This window comes from Homo sapiens, chromosome 7 (genome assembly GCF_000001405.40).
Source record: "Homo sapiens chromosome 7, GRCh38.p14 Primary Assembly".
NCBI classification, from domain to species: domain Eukaryota; kingdom Metazoa; phylum Chordata; class Mammalia; order Primates; family Hominidae; genus Homo; species Homo sapiens.
The window spans coordinates 78965549-78982434 of record NC_000007.14 but is presented as its reverse complement, the minus strand read 5'-3'; the positions used below and the strand labels follow the sequence as shown (position 1 = coordinate 78982434).

Below are 16886 nucleotides of genomic sequence, written 5' to 3'. Positions count from 1 at the left end.
ACAAAAAGCCAAGTATAATTAGCCAAAAACTTTACAGACATATCCCATTTAATTACCACTATAAACCTAAAGTATGGGTCCAAACTTTATCATGAATAAACTGAAGCTTAGATAGATGAAGAATTTGTGGTTCTGGTTTCATGGTGGCCAAAGCCAAAGTAGAAATCCTTTTAATGACAATTTTTTAATTGCTAGTTAAAATATAATTTTTAACAGTAATATTTAGAACTCAAAAGAATGTTTTAAAACCTCTAGCTTCCAGAAATAAGTAGGAACTGGATGACAACATGAAAAGCACCTAAGCTTATATAGCAGCTTGGGAGGATATGGGATCTGAATTAAAGCCCCGTCGCCAGAAGATGAGATCCTAATTCTTCACAGGGAAAGAATACCAGGTTTTGGACCTGCCTGAGGTGGGAAGGTAAAGTAAGACACTAAATGAAGTTGGGATGCTAAAAATATTACCTACACTTGTGAAAGAGATTTAGACTACACTGCCTGCTGAGCCAGGGAATTGTCAAGGAATATCGTCTTGGTCTGAGGCTCTAGGCAGGAAAAATTTCTTCCATGAGAAATATATGCTTCAGTTTGTGCTACATGAAATTGCAAAGTATGAATTTACACTGTCTACGTAATGCAGAAATCCCAAGCTCAGATTGGTTCTAGACAGAGCTATCTGTAGAAACAAATACACAATTTGTAATTCACCTCTATGATCCAGGGTGCCATGGGCTCCCACATGGGAAAAAGAAAAATTTTCTTTAAAGCTAAAAATTATAAACTATACAAGGGTACAATCTACCTCTGAAAAAGTCGGATGCAACAAATGGCAAGATTAATATATCTAAGAATTTAAGATTAATAGAATAATCTGAAAGATATAAAATGATTATGCTTAAATTAATTAAGGAAAGGAAATGTGAAATGAAAATTATAATGAAAAAATAGAATATTGTGACATTAAAAGACATAGATTGAAATCAGAAAATTATAATCATTAAAATGAAAATTTCAGTGAATGGCTTTAAATATCCATCAGAAGAAAGAGATAATAACATGGAGGTTTTGTCTGCTGAAATCATTCAGAATGTGGCATAGAGAGATAAAGAGACGAAAACTATGAAAGGGAAGTTACGACAAGGAGAGGAGAGGAATTGAAATTCAGTTATAATCTACTAGGAATTCTAGAAGGAGACACTAGGTAAAAACTGGCAGGCAGACAGCATTTAATGAGACAGTGTCTAGTAATAATAATAATAAATATAATTCTTATATTTATTTAAGTCCAACAAGGCCTGGGTGAGATAAATACATATACATTTGTACTAGTATACATAATAGAAGAAAGTCAGAAGAGCCAAGCAAAAAATTCTTAAAGGCAATAAGAGTTTAAAAATCCCTTCCCAAAAGAACAATAATTAGACTAAGCAAAACTTTCAACAACAACAAAGACAAGAAGATTATGAAATAAAATCTAAAAAGCCCTGAAAGAAAATAATTTCCTGCTGAGAATTCTATACACAATTAACCTGTGATTCATGAATTAGGCCAAAATACTCTTTAGACTAAAAGACTAACTGAATTTATATTTAACAGATACACCTTCTCTGAAATAACTAGTAAACAATATACTCCAATATTTAAAAAAACAAAAAACAAAAAACGAAACTGAACCAAGAAGGAAATTGAACCCAGAACCAAGGTGTGGTTTGCAAGATATGTGAGGATACAAGAAATGATAATGGACTAAGAAATTATTAAATCTAAAATAGGAACTAACTGTAAAACAACAGTAACAACAATAATAATGGCTAACTTTGAGATGTTTAAATATAAGATGGAATTAAACACTAGGTATTTACAGCATCTAAAATGGAGAGATGTCATTAGCGTTGAAATATACCTTCGTTCTGAGTTCAACTCCCTTCTCACTTCATTTGACTCTACATAACAGGCAGCTCTCCTGACACTGACAAGCCTTGATACTGGTGATACTGATGGCCAAGTACGTGCTCTGTACCACAAAAAGTCACTTAGTTTTAATTTCATACAATCATTTGGATCACAGGACAATTCACTTGGATGTATAAATTTGTGTTGCAGTTTGCCTTGTTAACTCTACTTTGTTTGTGTAATAATAATTATAGCTGATTTTTAAAATTTATTCTGTGCAAAATAATGTACAAACACTTTACCTGACTCAACTCATTTAATCCTGTGAGGAAGATATAATCATTATCTCATTTTACAGATGAGAAAAAAAAAACAAAGAACAGAGAGATTTCCTAACCTGCCTGGGATGATACAGCTCATAACTAGAAGAGTCAGAATTTACACCTAGGTAGTCCAGCTCCAAAGTTTGTCCTTTTGATCACTAAGCTAAATTTCCTCTCATGGGTATGAATTGCTTGGGTACAAATCCAGATACCTTCATTTATGAGCTGAGTGACCCAAGGCAATTTAGAGAATCTGGATACAAAATACTGAGAAAAGGGTTATTGAAGTGTTATGATTTTTCAAATAACATTTTAAAAATTTGAAATTGTCTTAGATTTACAGAAAGATTGCAAAGATATTACAGAGTGTTCATGGGATGCCATGACTTATGTATTTAATTTTTAACATTTTCCGTTAGTGTGTTCTATGTGAATTACCACCTATTCAACCCTTTGGTAAAGGAGGGATTCCTGCTCTAGGATTATGGGATGGCCAAACACACAAGACCCAACACTGGTCAGATGAGCCCAAAGGACACTGCACACCATGCAAGACCACCTGGGAATTGAACTTGAGAACAGAGTGAACAACCAGGGACTGTGGGAGAAAGGCTTTGTAGGATAGAGAGGGTGGAATGCCTTCTACTTCCCATGGGAATAGTTTGTTTGAATAACTTTGTGAGCTGGTAGGGAAGTGAAACCCCCAGCTCAGGGAGAAGCAAGAAATTCACCTGGTCTGTTTGATGAGGAGAGTTATTTGGCTGGAGACCTTGTCCCTGGGAGCACAGAGGAGAAGGTGACCAGTTTAGCTCTGACCATTTGGCTTTTGTGTCACTTTGATATAATCCCAGCATTGGCTGGGGGGGGACTTTTTTGACCTCTTTCTTAAATTCTGGAAAATCAAGATGCTCCAAGCTCGTCTTATATAATTCCTGCCCCAATCAGCCATTTCTCCAAAGGGTCCTGGTTCCTTTTATTGGAGGATGGTGTTAGAAGTCAAAACCTGGGCACTTGGTATGCTCATTACTACTGGGGTGTCATTTCCTCTAAGCCTGTTACATAACAGAGCAAAAACCAATCTGTATGTTCTAATCCACATGCATACACACATCTAAAAATACTTCTATGTGTAACCATGTATATTTATATTAAATGAAACTTGAGTTTTTACTGATGTCTCCAACTCGAATCCATTACTACATGGATTATTAATGCTTTCTCTTGCTTATCTCTGCTGTTACTTTCAATCCCAACAGTGAAAACCTGGCTCTCACCATCCACCATTCATTTATTCAGTTGTTCGGTTCCTGTATATGTGTATAGTGGTTTCATAGTTGTTAACCTGTATTCCAATGAATAACAATATTATCAACTAGAGTACAGAGCTGACACAGAGTTCCCTTGCATTTAATCTTTCAGACTGCCCTTATTTCCCAAGTTACCTAGCTCATTGCTCCCCGACCCCACGCCATCTCTTCAGTGAAGATGTTGCATACATTTGTAATAACAGTTAAATACTTTTGTCACATTCTGCATATAGTCCTATGATCCTCTGACCTACTTAATTATTTGTTTAATTGGCATGGATTAAGATTCATTTCTCTGCTGTAAATTCTTTGGGTTTTGACAAATGCGTCATATCATGTACCACCATTACAATGTCATACAAAATAGTTTTGCTGCCCTAAAACTCTTCCTGCGTTTCACCTATTTGATCATTTCCCTCCCTCTTCCTGAACCCCTCATCTGTTTTGTCTTTTCCAGAATGTTATTGAAACAGAATCATGTAGAGTACATAGCTTTCTGACCAACTTTCACTTAGAAAAATGGGTTGACAATTCATGCATGTCTTTCATGTGTCTTCATAACTCATTTTCCATTACCACCAAATAATATTCTATTATATGTGTGCACCATAGTTTGTTTATCTATTCAGCTATGGAAGGGCATCTTGGGTGCTTCAGGTTTTGGCAATTGTGATAGGGCTGCCATAAACAATCGTATGCAAATTTTTGTGTTAACATAAGTTTTCGAGTCAATTGGGTAAATGCCTAGAACTCCAATTGCCAAATTATATAGTAAGACCATTTAGTGTTAAAGAACCTGCCAAACTGTCTTCCAAAGTGGCCGTATTATTTTTTATTACTCCAGCAATGAATGAGTGTTACTGCTGTTCCACATTTTGCTGACAATTGTTACTGTCAGTTTTTTGAATTTTAGCCATTCTAATAGTTGCATAGTGGTACCTCATTGTTGTTTTAATTTGCATTTCCCTAATGACAAATGATGTTGAACGTCTTTACTGTTTGTAAGTTTTTTGGTGATGTATCTGTTTAGGTGTTTTGCCTGTTTTTTATTGGTTTGCATGCTCTCTTATTGTTGTGTTTTAAGAGATAAACTCTGTTATTTTGGTTACACATCCTTTATCAAATATATGTTTTGCAAACATTTTATCCTAGTCTCATGTAGCTTGCATTTTTATATCCTCAGCAGTGTCTTTCATAGATAAGGAGTTTTAAATTGTAATAAAGTCTAATTTTTTTCATGGATTGTACTTTGGGAATTGTATCTAAAAATTCATCACCAAACAAGAGTTCACATAGATTTCCTCCTGTTTTTCAATAAATTTTATAGTTTTTTATTTCATTACATTTTAGATTAACTTTTTGTGTAAATTGTAAGGTCTTTGCTCTTTCTTTCTTTCTTTCTTTCTTTCTTTCTTTCTTTCTTTCTTTCTTTCTTTCTTTCTTTCTTTCTTTGTAAATTGTAAGGTCTTTGCTTATGTTTCTCTCTCTCTCTCTCTCTGTCGCTCTCTTTCTCTCTTTCTGTCTTTCATTCTGCATGTGGCTGTCTGATTGTTCCTGTACCATTTGTTGGAAAGATGGTTCCTTCATTGAATTGCCTTTTTGCCTTGTCAGAATCAGTTGACCTCATTTATGTGGGTTTTTCTATTCTGTTACATTGACCTATATGTGATGTGTTCTCTTTTGCCAATATTACACTGTCCTGACTACTACAGCTTTGTAGTAAGTCTTGAGATTGACTACCATGAGTCCTTTCAACTTTGTCCTTCTTCATTATTTTGTTGGCTATTATACGTCTTTTGCCTTTCCAAATAAATTTTAGAAACATTTTCTTAATATCTACAAAATAGCTTGCTGGGATTTGAATTAGAATTGCTTTGGATTTATAGACCAAGTTGGGAAAGAATGGCAACTTAATATTGAGTCCTTTAATCTATGAACACAGAATATGTTACCATTTACTTAGATCTTTGATTTCCTTCCTCATTGCTTTGTAATTTTCTGCATACAGACTCTGTACATATTTTGTTATACTTATATGTAAGTATTTCACTTTGTGCTATTGTAGATGGTATTTTTTTAATTTCAAATTCCAATTTTTTATTGTTAGTATAAAGCAGAGCAATTGAGTTTTGCATGTTGACCATTAATCCTGCAACCTTGCTATACTTGGTTATTTATTTTGTTTTTGTTTTTTTTTTGTAGTTTTTTTGGTGTTTCTACATTTTAAAAAAAGTCATATGTTAATTATTACAGTTTTATTTCTTCCTTTCCAATCTATATGGCTTTTAATTCTTTTTCTCATCTTTTCACTAGATAGAACTTCCAGTATGATGTTAAATAGAGTGGTGAAAAAAGGACATATTTTCCTGGTTGATAATCTCAGAGGGAAGGCATCCAATCTCTCATCAAAACATGAGATGTTAGGTGATTTATTTATTTATTTATTTATTTACTTATTTATTTTTTGTGGATGTTCTGTACCAAGCTAAAGAAATTCTCCATTCCTGGTTTGGTGAGAGTTTTTGTCATGAATAGATGTTGTATTTTGTCAAATGCTTTTCCATCATAACTGATGATATCATAGATTTTCTTCTCCATGGCCTGTTGATATGTTAGATTACATTAATTGATTGTCTAATGTTGAAACAGCTTTAAATACCTGAAACAAATCTTACCAGTCTGTAGTTTATAACTTATTTTATACATTTTTGATGTGGCTTGATAATATTTTGTTGATGATATTTTCATCTATGTTAATGAGATATTGATCTGCAGTTTTCTTTTCTCGTAACGCCTTCATCTGATTTTGGTATTAGAGTGATACCTCTCATAGAAACAGTAGGAAAGTGCTAATCTGGACTAATCTGGTTTTTTCATTTTTGAGAAGTTATTACTGATTAACTTTTTTGATAAATATGGATCTACTCAAGTTGGCTATTTCTCTTTATGTGAGTTTTGATAGTTTATGTCATTCAAGGAATTGATTCATTTCATGTAAGTTTTCAAATAGGTGAGGATAGAGTTACTTGTATTATTCATTTATTATCTTTTCAATCTTCATGCAATCAGTAGTAAAGAAACTTCTTTCATTTCTGATATTGACCATTTGTATCATCTCCCTTTTTTTCTTGATTAATTTGGTAAAAGACTTGTTCATTTTGTTTATCTTTCCAAAGAACGAGCTTTAGTTCCCATTGATTTTCTCTATTATTTTCCTACTTTCAGTGTCATTGATATCTGCTTTAATTTTCATTATTTACTTTCTTCCTCTTGGGATAGGCTTAATTTTTCTCTATTCCTAAGGAGAGAAATTTAGCTTATTAATTTTAGATCTTTTCTCTTTTCAAATATATGCATTTGTTACTATAAATTTCCCTCTAAGTACTACTTTCACTGCATCTCATATAATTTGATAAATTATATTTTCATTCCCATTTAGTTCAAAGTATTTTAAAATTTCTCCCGTGACTTCTTCTTTGGACACATATATTATGTAGCAGTGTGTTGTTCAGTGCCCAAATACTAGGGGATTTTTCAAACGTCTTATATTGTTGATTTTTAGATTAATTTCTTGGTGATCTGAGAACATACTTTACATGAGTTCTATCATTTTATTAAAGTGCATTTTATAGCCCACAATGTGGTCTATCTTGATGACTGTTCCAGGTGAGTTTGAGAAGAACATATCGCTTGCTCTTGTTAGATGGACTATTGTATAAATGTCAATTAGGTTAAACTGATTCGTGGTGCTATTCGAGTCAACTATATCCTTACTGATGTCCTGCTTGCTTGGTTTTTCAATCACTGGCAGATGGATTTTGGAGTCTCCAACTCTCATAGTGGACTCCCTGTTTCTCCTTTCATTTATATTAATTTTTGTCTCATATATTTTGATGGCCTTTGGTTAGGTACATACACATTTAGGACTGTTATGTTTTCTTTAAAAATCGACCCCATTGTCATTATCTAATGCTATATTTGTGGTAATCTTCCTTGTTTTGAAGTCAACTTTGTTTAAAAGTAATATAGGTAGTCAAACTTTCGATAATTGTTAACTACTTAGATTATAGGTGTTTTGGTTAGGTGGATGATGTTCTTACTTGATTTATATTTTTAAGCCATACAGTGTCTAGGATACTGTTGGGCATGGGAATGCTTGGTAATAAAAGCTTTTTGACTGATTAATAAGGATTAGATGTCTGTGAGCATATTGTACACTATAAATAGGAAGATAAATGAGATTACAATAAAAATTTCTAAATTCCCAGAAGACATACTCTATATTTTCCAATGTGCTAAAAATGAAGAGTTAATATTTAAGTTAGCAAATTTAGAAATAACTACATTAAAGGAGAAAATGTTACCTTTCTACATGACATATGATTTATAACTGTTTCACAATTATTAAAATAAATGGAACTGAAAATTATGAAACTTTTTACTTTACTAAGTGTGATTGAATTGAATATGTTTCAATACTGCATGCTCATGAATTATACTGTACTTCTTTTCATTGGCTAACAAGCATAGATCTTTCAGTGTCTAAGGTCCAAGAAGTCAGACATTAGAGCTAAAAATTAGCCACACTAGAGAAAAAATTATTCTAACTGGCCTTTCTCAGTTTAGTTTTTTGTTATCCCGAAAGAGGCTTGATATTTAAACCCTCCTAGTTCAAAGCAGGATGAAAGATTCAATAGGGTTTTTGTTTTTTTTTTCTCTAGAAAATACATCAAGGTACATTCTCACTTGTCCTTTTATTGAACCTGTAATTAATTAAAGGGAGTTTTTCAAAAAACACATGTAGAATTCATTTCAAATTTAGAAAGAGGTAGGTGCTAATCTAATAGTATGGAGCAGGTCAAAGAGTTTTATTTTTTGAGAAAAGCAATATGTATCCCAAATTGAAAGGGAAGATGCTGTTCAGGGCTTGATGTAGTTAGCATTCCCTAACTACTTTGGTAGTGTGATTCCCACAAGCCAAACGCAGCAACACACTCCAGATGCGCAACTTAGATATTCAAAAGTAGAGACAGGAGAAGAGCTGATCCCAAGAAATGAGGAGGGGCCAAAGGTGACTATTGTAACGGGGTAAAATTGAGAAATGCCTTGCAATCTGTGATTTCAAGCTACGAGCATACAGCAGGGCAACCAGAAAGATACATATTCCATTATTCAGGAGTTGAGTGTCCCTTCTTGTTATGCCATTATTTCTGGTGCTTTTCTCCGCAGGCCTCATTTGCAGGGGAAAAGGAAAGAAAGACAACTAGAAAAGAAAGGGAGGAAATAAGGCTTCTCCAGTTAAGAAAATTTACTTCTATCATAGGTTTTACATTCAAGGGAACAATTCATAACAAAAAAAAAAAGTCTCTTGCAGCAAATTCTCTAGAGTCCATCACAGTGAATCTATAATTACAACTTAAGGCTGTTTGCACAGAGTCAGGTTCCTTGCACAGAGGAATGGAAATTCTATCCATCAATCTATCTTCCCATCAATCTAACTAATGACACTGTAAAGAAGTCCCTCTGTGATATTTGTCATTTGGTTTAAGCAAAAATAGACATACAAGATATAAATACAGAAGGAGCAACACCCAATCAAGGCAAAAGAAGTAAGTTTCAGCTAAACAATAGTTATACCTAGAAGGACATACAGAATTGTGTTAAGTAAAATCATGGAAAATCTAATTGTGTGCTTTGAAAATGGAGTGGAAAATGTGCTTCTGTACAGATTATATTTTAATATTGTTACAGAATTAAAACACCCCAGAGCATAATTGTATCCTGGGGAAGCCTTATGACAATCAGAACAGCTGGCAAACCCTTGTTTAATTAGAATTATAAAGAGCAACAGTGACCATTCAGTATTTCAGTTTTTGTACCTGTAACTACTTTGAGGGAAATGATAAATATATAGCCCAGATTTGTTTAAAAAGAAAACTCTGTGTGTGTGTGTGTGTGTGTGTGTGTGTGTGTAAAAGCAACAAGAGCACAGAATCACAAACTATCTCCTCTTTACTTCAGTTAATTTTAGCCGTAAATACCTCCCAAAATAAGCATATGCCCCTACTCTGGCAAACATTAAAAAGATATTTTTATGAATATAATTTTTTAGGAAAAATGACCAAATACTGTATATCTGTCCTGATTGCTATGGTTATACAATACCACTATTTGCTAAAAGCATTAGAACTTTACTTGGTTTTTTATAACAAAATTTGTAGATAAAGTCAATTACAATTATCTGTGCCTGGATTATATATATTATATAATGCCTATTTAATCTATTTACCCATCATTCTATTGAGAGAATAATTACTATGAAATCTACCTCAATTCTGCACTATTTTAAAACCTCAGAAAATCAGAGCATTCTTGCAAATGATAGGTAGAATAAGTCAGTAGGTGGTAATTTATGTTGTTGATAACAAAATCTAATGTTTTAGTTTCACAATTAGAACATACCAGAAAGTGCCATCAATTTTTTCTAAAAATAAAAGGATATTTAAGAAACAACCAAACTAAACCTATAAAAAATATAATATGCTCACTATGCATATTTAAGAGAATATTGAACAAGAATTAATTTTTTTGATAGTAAGGAAGGAAATATTTTCTGAAAAGAGGATTTTGGGTTTGCTTTCCTTTTTAAAAATATTTAGAGAAGTATATTTTAGCAGGTTATAGGAATTCATGCATTTTTTAAATCAGTGATCAGGTATGTTTTACTAATTAAGTCTGATGGCTCTTTTTATATTCCTGCTTACAGACTGAAAATTATATGCTATTTAGAAGTATAGATTTTTAAATATCATGTTAATGCTAAAATATTCAAGTAAATATGAGCAGATCATGCTGCAGGCGCAGTTATGAAATATTTGAGGCCCTTTTCATCTCTTATTTTTTGTGATGTATGAAAGGCAAACATTTGTAGAACTCAAAAAAGTAGTACTTAATATTTATATGGCTCTTAAAATGTACTAGGAATACATTTCTACTTTATAAGCTCTACATACATAAAGCATAGCCATACTAAAGTAGAAATTTTCTATTTATAATCAGAACTGGAAACTTGATTACCATGAATTTTCTCATCTAGCCTGATGAAACCCCCATTATACAGGTGAGAAATTGAGACAGATTAAATCATGTCCCCAAAGTCACACAGTTTGTAAATAGCAAAGTCAGTATTTGATCCCCCAAAATTTGGCTCCCAAATTCACGTTCTAATCATTGAGCTGTACTACATCCAATGTATGACCTGAAAGTAGGGTGGCCAAACTTAACACATAAAACAGGATTTATAGTTAGGGTTGACAGATAAAATACAAGACCTAATATTGCATAGGAAATACTTATACTAAAATATTATTTGTTGTTTATGTGAAATGCAAATTAACTGGGTGTCCTATATTTCATTTAGCACCTTTACCCTAAATGAATATTTTGTTACACTGTGCAATACTTGTAAGGAAGTATTGCTGTACCTACCATAGAATATATGTATTTTAGTACTTGAATTATTTTCCTTTATTTGCATGACATTTATTAGATGCTAATAGTCATTGATTAGTAATATTTTTATTCCCAATTGCTTATAGATTTATCTCCATATCTCTTTGAAGAGAGACAATGGGAAGTAATGAGTTAATAGCATATGTATGTATAAGCAGATTTCTCCCTCCTCCCATATGCTGAGGCATTTTGACCTTGACCACACTTTCTTGTAAACACACTTACTGATTTCAGGAGCTACAAGATAAAAGAGGGTCTTCTGGGGGCTCTACTGTATGAAATATTTTTAGCCAGATATATGGTAAGTTTGTCTGGATTGCTTATTGTAAGTAAACTATCATTTTTTAATTTATTAGACACAAACCCACCAGAGAATGGAAGTTATTAAATGGTCATTCTCATTAAGTCATTTGGAAAGTACGAGACCCCAAAACTAAAGGGCTTCCCTGCGCTGATGGAAGTCAAACAGTTAGCATTCCTCTCTCCAAGCCCAAAATGCATCACAGTGTTAGAAAGGGATTTAGGAAGCTGTGCTTGACTGATTTCTGGGCTCCCAGGCACTGATGTAGCATTAGCACAGGATACAAGAAAGCTGTGACTCCTTTGTTATATCCTTTGCTAACCATTAGTAAAACTTAGTTTCTTGTGAGCCTGACTGACAATTCAACTTTGTGATAGTGCAGACCCACAGTCACAATATTTTCTGAGTCAGCCAGGATGAATTAGCTCTTGTTACCTCTCTCTCCAGATTGCCAAAATTATGAACTATTTCTTTAGTCTTCTTTATCCTTTGCCAATGTAAGGAGAATTTATAGCAAGCAACTCAGGAAAAAAAAATGTAGTTTCCATAATTGCTAATTTCTGTTTGCTCTATTCTGATGAACTATCATATAGGAATTTATCTCATAGGCTTTTCAGTGAAATGAGAGTCAGCATAGGGGATCTCAAGTTATTTTAATTCAAAATATGAAGAATGACTTTATGATTCTGCATGTCATGATCATTATGAACAAGAGATATTTATCAAGCAAAATAAGACATAGGCAAGTTGCTGGAATCTCAACAAATATCTCTTAAAGGGGCTGGGAAAAATTATCCTTCAGGGGGTTGTAGTAAGGATAAAATAAAATAAGTCACTTGCTTAACAAAGTATCTGTCACTTATAAATATTCATTAGTGATTTATAACCCTCATATATGTGTAGGTCACAGTTTTCTTACAAGGATTTAATAATCTAGTTGATTATGAAGCTATTTAAAAATTGTATAATGCCAGGTAACATAGGATAATCAACAAATGAGGAATTTGGAAGACCATAATGAATTAACTCATCAGGGATATTAGATGGAATGTGGACTAGCCTTGGGGAATGGTGGCAGCATGCATGGGTCTGAGCTGTGGTGCTACCAATTCCAGGCTATGCAACCTTGGGCAGCTTATAATATCTCCATGCCTCAGTCTCCTCGTTTTTAAAGTGAGGATATTGGTATTCATACACAAAAAAATGTTTGCTTTGAGGATTCATACGTGCAAAATATTTAGCATAGAGTAAACACTGATTAATATTGGCTAACATTATCACCGTTACTATGATTTGTAATATGTAGTGATATTTTATTTACTATTATTTTAGAAAAAGTAGGCAGTAATTTCGAGTCAACTGCTTTTTCTAAATCATTTAACGTGTTAAATGAGAACCCTACTGCACAAATGTAGGGTTAAGTATCACTTTTAAGGTTTACTTCAAAGTAAGTGAATTAAGGCTATCAAGGAAGAATGTTTTTGGCTATAAACTGCATAAAGAAAAAGAAGAACTGGAGAAATTACTGAACTAGAGAAGTCATCGAACTAGAGGTGTGAACTAAATATTGTAGACGTGAATCGGCTTCATTGTCCGGGGAAATATCCATGGTTCGTTGTCTCTCGCCAAGATCATTAATGACACGAACACACACTTGGAGTGGGTTAAGGAACGGAAAATTTAACAGATAAAAAAGAGGAGAGAGAGACAAAGCTTCCTCATGTTGAGAAAGTAGGTTACCCAAGGCGGGGTTTCCACGTTTGGGCGGAACGCTATCGATTTAGTACAGAGGCTTGAAGAGGCGGTGATTGATTTACATAAGGCCCAGGGGATTGGTTTGACCAGGTGTGCCATTTACACAGCTCGAGAAAAGACTGGCCCTCCTACCCTAATCTTTTACTGTGCAAATACAGCTACTACCAGGTGGTCGCCAGTACACCTGCACAGATGGCTTTACTTGTCCTGCGCCATGACCCCGACACACGTGGCAACAAGGAAAAGGGAGCAGGAATCGCCATATTGAATGTACCTGGCTTCCAGGTGCAGCTGCTGGCATTTACATATGCAAGCCTCTAGCTTACATAGCTATACTTGCAGCTAGACTTTTCAGGCTGCTTTATATTAGAAAAGAAATGGTTTGGAGGCTGCTTTTTATTGAAGGAAAATTCCACCAAGGATTCTTTTACTCTTTCTAACTGCAAAATAATTTCTTAATAACTCCTGTATTAGCAGCTGAATTTGCAAAGAAAATAAAGGCCGTGTCCTTGTGAATCTTTTTTCTCCCCTTAACTCTCAGAAATCACCACCTGTCTCAATAAACTACATCATAATAATTAAAAGAAGAAATAAATTGGATTTATAGTGCTTAATTTTATGTATGGGGATCTCATAATTGATAAATAAAATGACTTCTTTTGGAATTTAACATATTTGCTTAATGTGATATAGTACAACTTCTAGAAAGCTGTATGTAATATAACAATAGCTGAAAAGTGCTATACTATGAAGATCAAACAAATGTGAAGAAATCTTATCAATGCTAATAAGAAACTATCTGAAAAGGAGATTAAGAAACAATCCCATTATAGTAACATCAAAAATAATGAAATACTTAGAAATAAACTTAACCTAGGAGATAAAAGACCTGTACATTAAGACCAAAAAAAAAAAACTGATGACAAAAATTGAAGAAGACATAAATAAATGGAAAGACATCTTCATAGATTAGAAGACCTAATACTGATCAAATGTTCATACTACCCAAAGTGATCTACAGATTTAATGCAATTTCTATCAAAATCTCAGTGGCATCTTTCACAAAAATAGAAAAATCCATCCTAAAATTCATAGGAAACCATAAAGGACCCCACAGAGCCAAAGCATCAAGAAAAAAAGAACAAATTTGTAGGCATCACATATCCTGATTTCAAAATACATTACAAAGCTATGGTAGTTAAAACCAAGTGGAGGCAGGGTGCGGTGGCTCACGCCTGTAATCCCAGCACTTTGGGAAGTTGAGGCAGGAGGATCACTTGAGCTCAGGAGTTCAAGACCAGCCTGGCCAACATGGTGAAACCCCTTCTGTACTAAAAATACAAAAATTAGCTCGACATGGTGGTGCATGCCTGTAATCCCAGCTACTTGGGAGGCTGAGGCAGGAGAATCACTTGAACCCAGGAGGCAGAAGTTACAGTGAGCCAAGATTGCACCACTGCATTCCAGCCTGGGTGACAGAGCGAGACTCCATCTCAAAACAAACAAACAAAAAACAAATGTCAATGACATAAGGATAGTCATAAAAACCAGTGCAACATAAAGAGCCCAGAAATAAGCCATGCGTATATAATAAACTGATTTTTATCAAGACAGCCAAGAATACACAAAGGGGAAGGACAGTCTGTTTAACAAGTCATTTTGGAAAACTGGATATCCACATGCAAAAGAATGAAATTGGACTTCTACACTATATATATATAAAAAAAAAATCAACTCATAATGCATGAAAGACTTAAACATAAGACCTGAAACTATAAAACTCATAGAAGAAAACATAAGGAAAAAACTTTCTAGCATTGGTCTTGGCAATGATTTCTTGAATATGACACCAAAAGTACAGGCAACAAAAACAAAAATAGACAAGTGGACTACAATGAACTAAAAATCACACCAAAGGGAACAATTGACACAATAAAAAGACCTCCTAGGGAATGAGAGAAAATGCATGCAAGCCATATATCCTATAAGGAGTCAATATTGAAAGTATGTAAAGAACTCCTACAACTCAATACCACATAAACAAATAACCCAGTAAAAAGGGCAAAGGACTTGAACAGGCATTTCTCAAAAAAAGACATACAAGCTGGATGCTATGACTCACACCCGTAATTCTAGCACTTTGAGAGGCAGAGACAGGAGAATCACTTGAGTCCAGGAGTTTGAGACCAGCCTGGGCAACATGGAATATTTTGTCTTTAAGGAAAATTTAAAAAAAAAGTTAGACCAGCAAGATGCTGTACATCAGTAGTCCTGGCTACTCGGGAGGCTGAGGTGGGAGGATAGCTTAATCCCAGGAGTTCAAGCCTGCAATGATCGTACCACTGCACTCCAGCCTGGGTGGCAGAGTGAAACCATGTCTCAAAATAAAAACAAAAGTAAAAATAAATAAAAAGAGACATACTAGTGGCCAACAGGGATCTGAAAAGATGTTCAACATCACTAATCATCACTTAAGATGGCTATTATCTAAAAAAAAAAAAAAAAAAAGACGTGTAGGCAAAGATCTGGAGAAATCTGAAAACTCATATGCTATTAGTGGGAATGTTTAATGGTGCAGCCCCTGTGGAAAACATTATGGAGGTTCTTTGAAAGATTGAAAGAGAACAACCATATGTGCCAACAATCCCACTTCTGGGTGTTATCCAAAAGAATTGAAATCAAAATCTCAAAGAGATATTCACATGCCCATGGTCATTGAGGGATTATTCACAATAGCCAAGTTGTGGAAACAACCTAAATGTCCATCAACAGATGAGTAGATAAAGAAAATGTAGCATATACGTACAATGGAATTTATTAAGCCTTAAAAAAGAAGGAAATTCTGCCATATAGGATAACATGGATGAACTTTTAGGATATTATGCTAAATGAAATAAGCCAGTCACAAAACAAATGCTGCATGATTTCACTTACATGAGATATCTTAAATAGGCAAATTTGCAGAAGCACAGTAGAATGACGATTGCCAGGAGTAGAGGGAGAGGGAAATGGAGGGTTGCTGTTCAACAGGTATAAAGTTTCAGTTAGGCAAGATGAATAAGTTGCCTACCTCCTATACAACATTGTAAATATAGTTAACAATTCTGCCTTGCACACTTAAAAAGTTATTAAGAGGATAGATCTCATGGTAAACATTCTTACCACAATTTTAAAGAATTAAGTTTTATATTTGCTTTGTAAAACAGTTATTTCTATCTCTCCTAAGCACATTGTAGAGAGATTCAGGTTAACCTAGGTCAGTGTGTTGGACAAATGCTGAAAGGCAGTCAGGGAATGCCACCAACATCTGGGGAAACTATACTCTATTATTCTCTGTAGATGGAACTTGGGCCTTATATCCTGAATACTTTAGAGGCCTCAGTTTCTTCATCTGTAAAACAAAGGTGAGGGATGAGGGATGAGGTTGCCTCCAAAAGCTATTTTTTGATTCCGCAGAGTCCTAGGTGAACTGAAATGTCATGACCTGGAAGAAATGATCTCCAGGTAAGTATACCCAACAGAACATTCAGACAAGAGTTATTTTAAAAGCTCAAGTTCTGCTTTATAGGGCAATAATCAGGTTGAATCATTGCAACAAGCTAATATCCTACATGTGTAGCAGTACTTGATACCTAGGATTTGATTTCTGTACGTCATAGTTTAAAATATATCTTCAACTAATCTAAAAGGGATGGTTTCTGATATTCTGGTAAACTGAAAGAAGACAAAATTCTGTGTTTGTAGATAAAATAATCTGATTTCCTAGGAGAACAGCTAAGTAAAAATGAAAAAAAA

At 34.1% G+C, this 16886-nt stretch overlaps 1 protein-coding gene across 12 annotated transcripts in view, besides 1 other annotated feature; it reads left to right on the top strand.

The window, feature by feature from the left end:
- MAGI2 (membrane associated guanylate kinase, WW and PDZ domain containing 2) overlaps nt 1–16886 on the top strand; it is a 1436613-nt gene that overhangs the window by 471233 nt on the left and 948494 nt on the right. The window lies entirely within an intron of this gene.
- Nucleotides 12899–13400: an enhancer, noted in NCBI's record as "OCT4-NANOG hESC enhancer chr7:78598351-78598852 (GRCh37/hg19 assembly coordinates)". NCBI's record gives its function as "activates a minimal SCP1, AML or CMV promoter by ChIP-STARR-seq in primed H9 embryonic stem cells {active_cell/tissue: H9 hESC(primed)}" and the evidence as "EXISTENCE:reporter gene assay evidence [ECO:0000049][PMID:30033119]".